This window comes from Homo sapiens, chromosome 3 (assembly GCF_000001405.40).
Source record: "Homo sapiens chromosome 3, GRCh38.p14 Primary Assembly".
Taxonomy (NCBI): domain Eukaryota; kingdom Metazoa; phylum Chordata; class Mammalia; order Primates; family Hominidae; genus Homo; species Homo sapiens.
The window spans coordinates 190,114,139-190,120,207 of NC_000003.12; the positions used below are offsets into that span (position 1 = coordinate 190,114,139).

General features: G+C 41.4%; 1 protein-coding gene across 2 annotated transcripts in view; it reads right to left on the reverse strand.

Moving 5' to 3' along the window:
* P3H2 (prolyl 3-hydroxylase 2) overlaps positions 1 to 6,069 on the reverse strand; it is a 165,551-nt gene that overhangs the window by 157,411 nt on the left and 2,071 nt on the right. The gene's annotated exons all lie outside the window — the stretch shown is intronic.

Here is a 6,069-nt window from a genome sequence, read left to right on the forward strand (position 1 = left end):
ATGGGAGAATACTTGCAAGCAATTGCTGCCCTCATCTAATTATTATTATTATTTTTTTTTTTTGAGGCGGAGTCTTGCTCTGTCGCCCAGGCTGGAGTGCGGTGGCGCCATCTCGGCTCACTGCAAGCTCCGCCTCCCGGGTTCACGCCATTCTCCTGCCTCAGCCTCCCGAGTAGCTGGGACTACAGGCGCCTGCCACCACGCCCGCCTAATTTCTTTTTGTATTTTTAGTAGAGACGGGGTTTCACCGTGTTAGCCAGGATGGTCTCGATCTCCTGACCTCGTGATACGCCCACCTCGGCCTCCCAAAGTGCTGGGATTACAGGCTTGAACCACCATGCCCAGCCTCATCTAATTAAATTTTAAGCCTCTGTGGCACTTATCACTTATACGGGCAATAGATGACTGGTAAGGAGCTGACCAGGCTTTCAGATATGGGACAATCCCAAGGAGGAACAATTGTGATTCTAATTCCTTAGCACACGGGACCTAAAATCTAGCTAGATGAACAATCTCTCAGGTTTTCTTCCTAAGGAGTGAGACATAAAGATGGTGACCTGTAAGTTTTGATGGTTTAAGCACAAAAAAGTGTTCAGTTGTTAAAGAGAGGGGGGAAAAGCTTCATCTTTTGAGGAAATAACCATTAGAACAATTTCATAACAGCTATTTCAAGAAGATATGAAATCAATCTTCTATTTGAAATAATTTGCAGATAAAATATACATATTCTACAAATAGGTAAAAATAATTTAAATATGAAATTCAGGAAAGCATTTTTATTCTAAACTAATAAGATCTATATGATGCACTTGTCTGGGTTTTCAATTTCATTTTAAGGCATGCATTATAGAAAGAGATAGCAGTTGATAAAACAGAGTAAGAGTGAGGAAATTCCTAGAGTTTACTTTGTTTTCCCCTAGGAACCACTAATCAAATAGATTATGGTCAAGATAAAGGAAGTTCCAAGAGGACTCTAGGACCAAAATAGAATTGTCTAATGTAATTGTGTCTTTATTTTTCCCCTTCCTTTTAATCCTAATCAAATAGATTATGGTCAAGATACAAGAAGTTTCAAGAGAGGACTCTAGGACCAAAACAGAATTGCCTAATGTAATTGTGTATTTATTTTTCGCCTTCCTTTTAATCCTAAGAAGAAAAACAAAGGTCAAATGGAACAAAGCAACAACACAGAAACAAAACAAGCAGGGGCAAGCTTGTTTTGAGTAGAAAAATGAATAAATAAACAGCATTTTTTTTTCCTTTTTTTAAATGGTTGGGAAAAGTGGGAGAAAAAAAAAAAAAACCAGACACTGTCAAACCATTCCTGATTATAAAGGACACAGATAAGAAAGAAAAGTATCCCTCATGTTTGTTTAAATTCCAGAATTGTGCATGAAACAGGTACAATATGTCAAGGGTATTTTGAAGTATAGTTTTAAGTAATAAGAACTAAAGAAGAAAAAGTGGGGTGGGAAAGGGGGTGAAAGTTTGCAACATTAGCCAGAACTTGTAAGTAGAAAATAGTGAGAAGTCAGGCAGTCAACAGTCCTGAAACGTTCTCTTCCAACTGACCAGCCAGGAAGCCAAACAACTAAAGTGAGAAAACCTCCTGCCACCATGCAGAAATCTTCCTCAACAACATTTCATATGCATGGAACCAAGTTATTATTCATTCAACAAACATACACTGAACCACCCCCTGTTTTAGGTATTTGGAGGGAAGATGGTTGTGAATCACCCAACTCAGACCTACTGAGCCTGTATCTGTAATTTTGAATCACATTTTAAAGCCCCTGATGATTAATAATAATTATCCATTTAGTAATCATCCAAATCTGGGAACCTCTGCTTTAGGAGATACAAGAATCACTAAGACAGTTCTTGATTTCAGGAAGCTCACCTAAGTAATAACGAAATTATCACTTTTTCCAAAACAAGGTTAAAAATGAAAAATGACAGAAGAGGAACAAAATTGTTACTGTGGGAATTCAGAAAATGGAGAAATGGTATACTTTTGGGAGTTGTAGATGGAGTGAAGGAAGAACTCACAGAAATAGGTGCATTTATATGTTAGGATAGTTATGATTTGAACATGTAGAAGAGGAAGAGGAAAGGTCTACTATTTTAACTAATAAAAAGAATAAATGTATCTCCAATGGTTACTGAGAATCAGGCCCTATGCTGGGTGCTTTACATCACTCATCTCTTAAACTTAACTTAAAATAGGAACGTAGGCCCCATTATTTCCCCATTTTGCAGATGGGAGAACTAAAGCTGAAAAATCTTATGGAATTTGCTGACAGTCACACAGATAGAGACTGGGAAAACTAAAAATTAATCCCATATCTATCCATTCTAAAGCCTCTACACCTCCCAAGAAAGACTAAACAAGGCCAAGAGATGCAGAAGTGTCAGGCATAAGACAAAGCACTCATTGTTACCTTTGGCTGGAAGGCGGCAGAGTTGGGGAAGATAGGACTGGGAAGGTTGAGAGGGAGCCAGGCTGTGGATGCTATGGTAACCTATTTGAGCTTTATATGGTAGCAAGAGGAAGTCCACTGAAGGTTTCTGAGCAGAGAATGCAATGATAAAAGCTATATATTACGTCTTAGGCTATGAATCATGGGTTATCTCTAACAATCTTAAATGATAAAAATCAAAAGTTTGAAGAGTCTCACACTGCCTTTAAACAAAAAGTATGGCTAGGAGCCACGTGAAACTACTGCCTCATAGCTGTCTAGGCAAATTCCCAACATGCCAGGCCTTGAAAAAATTCAACAGAGCAAGGCTCATGAAAGATGTAGTGAGTATCTGTTACCCTGCAAGACAAGGATATACTCATCCCTGGAGCTGTCCAAATCTGGCATAAGGATAGCCCTGGGGTATGCAGCATTCTCTGGGACCTGATGTGAACCTACAGGCCAGTGGGCACAGGAAAGCTATCGGAATCAGTTATTGGAAGAATCCAGACTCCTGACTCCCAGCCCTGTGCTCATTTCAACAGATCATTTGGTATGCCACTAAATATGTGACACTGAGCAAACCTCTTTACCTTTCTATTAAACATTTAGAAACATCCCTTTCCTCATCTGTGAACCAAGAAATTGAACTCATTGGGTCTCAGATTTCATGATTTTTCATCCTTCTTCCCCTCCAACACACCAGCACAAATAATCTGCTTTCATCGGAGGCCCACTCAGCAGGATTTGGGGGAGCAGTAACATCTCCTGAGAGCTTCTATAGTTGGAAAATCTCTTAGCTGAGAATAATTGTACTTTCTTAGCTTTATGAAGCATTCCAGTCCTCCCTCACTGAATTTGATCTAGTCCAGGATTATCCTTTTAAGTGCAAACTGGATCACTGATGTCAAAAGCAATTAAACAATACAGGGCACCATGACCATATCCAGTCACATGGCAGGGAGTTCCTCATCCTAACATCAGGGAATCAATGCCCTAGAATCCAGACCTGTCAGAGCTCCAGGATGTTCTTTTATTATTTGAGAGGTTTTTTTTTTTTTTTTCAGTCTCAAAAGATGGTGTGTGTGCGTATTCATAAGTGAAATTCCAAGGAAGCCAAGCAAAGGCTAAAACTGGGGCTTTCTTGGGGGCTGGGGGAGGGGGGTGAAGGGGAGAGAAAAACCATGATGCAGTTTTAGAGGTTCACAAACTCCAACTTTCAAAAACGAATTTCCAAAAGGATAAAATATTTTCTTCTTAAGAGATTATCAATTATGTAGATCCAAGAAACTGCCAGAGAAGAGAAGTAGGGAGAAGACGCAAGACTTGTTCTGCTCTCAGAAATATTGCTGGTAGAACTGAAATGAACACACGAAGCCACGGATCTTTGAAAGAACTTCTTAAACTTCATTAATTCATCAGACAACACCCAGTAATTCACTTACAGAGTGTGACTTGTTCCTGTAATCAATTCACCACAAAAATTTGAGGTATGTTAAACCTATGGCTTCACCTTCTTTGACCTCCAACCAGGGAACCGGAGGGGAAATGACTGACAAATGCTGACATTAACAGTGAAGCAAGCAGAATTCCAGAACCAGGGAAACCCACATATTGAGAGTTACCTCATGGTTATTTGTTTTTATAGGACTGACCTTGACTATGTATTCTTTCTCCAGATATGAGAAAGGAAAATATGTCCAAAATTTGTGACAGAATTAACAGCAGGACTGCTAACCTTACATCCGAGACTCCTGGGAGGACCAAGCTACAGGGACCACCCATGTTCTGCTCTGGGAACTAGCTTATGATAACTTCACCGTCAGACACTCAAGGTCCCCTCTCTGCCTGGTGTTGACTGATTTCTGTAAGACCACCAGAAATTGTGTAAATCACTTAGAAGAAATTAGAGTTATACTTCATACATGCCTTAGCAATCAGGAGGCACAAGCAAGCAGAAGACAAGTCCTGGAAAGGATTCAGACTTTCTCCTCATTTCTTGCCCAAGATACTAGTCCAGTGAACTCCAACACCTTAGCCACAACACAAGGAAGTTAAGATTTATACTTAGTTGAAATTTCGTGCACTCCACCAACAGTTGCCAATCTGAGAGAACCCTACCACAGATGAGGGCAGAGATCTTGTGGGATGAGCTGCAAAAGGCATTTGGATATTTGAACATGGTATGTACTTTCATCTCCTTAGAAACACAGCCTGGTCCAGCCGTGCTCACGCCTATAATCCCAGCACTTTTGGAGGCGGAGACGGACGGGTCACCTGAGGTCAGGAGTTCGAGACCAGCCTGGCCAACATGGTGAAACCCCTTCGCTACTAAAAATACACAAACACACACAAAAATTAGCCCGGCATGGTGGTGCACACCTGTAATCCCAGCTACTCAGGAGGCTGAGGCAGGAGAATCGTTTGAGCCCGGGAGGCGGAGGTTGCAGTGAGCCCAGATTGCACCACTGCACTCCAGCCTGGGTGACAAGAGCAAAACTCCGTCAAAAAAAGAAAAGAAAAGGAAGAGAGGAGAGGAGAGGGGAGGGGAGGGGAGGGGAGGGGAGGGGAGGGGAGAGGAGAGGAGAGGAGAGGAGGGGAGAGGAGAGGAGAAAAGAAAGCAAAGCAGAGCACAGCAGAGCAGAGCAGAGCAGAGCAGCCTGGTCCATTGGCTAGCATGAACAACCAACCCCAAAGCTTCCACTTTTCCGGTAGCTGTAGAAGATACATTGATATATTAACACAGAAAACGAGAAAGAAGGGTTAAGAGTGTCAATTTGAAGGAAAATTGGGTGAGTGGCAGTGGAGGTTGAAGAACTCATTCAAATTCCCTCTGCTGAAGCATCCAGAGAGATCTTCAAAGTTATGGATGTGAACAATATGTCAATATGCATACTATACCTCCTGACGCTAACTTTAGGCAAGTTAGGCATACAAAAATAAAACTAGAAAGAGAGGACTGATGCCTAGTAACCCAGTCCAATGCATACCACCAGAAAACGTAAGCCCTCTATCAAAGGAGAAAAAGTCAACACTTAGGGTGGATACTTTGACTGAGACTGCCTCAAACAGCTTCGCCTCCTCCAAGCATACCTTCTCTTTAACCTTTGATCTTTACTTTTTTGTAGGTGAAGGGGAGAAGAGAGAGAAATTTGTTTTGGAACAGGTCTTTCAACTTCACTATTTTGAAGATTCTTTTAAACTTCAGAGAAAAGGTGCAGACTACAGTATAGGAAGGATAAGAGAGAGGAGACAAAAGAAATGGGAAGTGAGAAGGGAGAAGAGAAATGGGAAGTGAGAAGGGAGAAGAGAAATGGGAAGTGAGAAGGGAGAAGATAAATTGTACTAGATTCAGCTTTGTCAATGCCTCATGAATTAGTGCTGAATGGGTACTTTAAACATCACCTTATCAGGACAGTCCTCTTTTTGAGAGAGAAGCTGGCTCTGAGAAAGAGAGAAAAAGACTTGTCCAAGTTAATCAATTGTTGCATACAGAGATAGGGCCACCAGATATCTGGATTCACAAACTGAGACACATATTTAAGGAGACCCAATTCGAAAGACTGAACAGAGATGACGGGGGCAGCAGGGAGGGCTCAAGAGAGCGTGT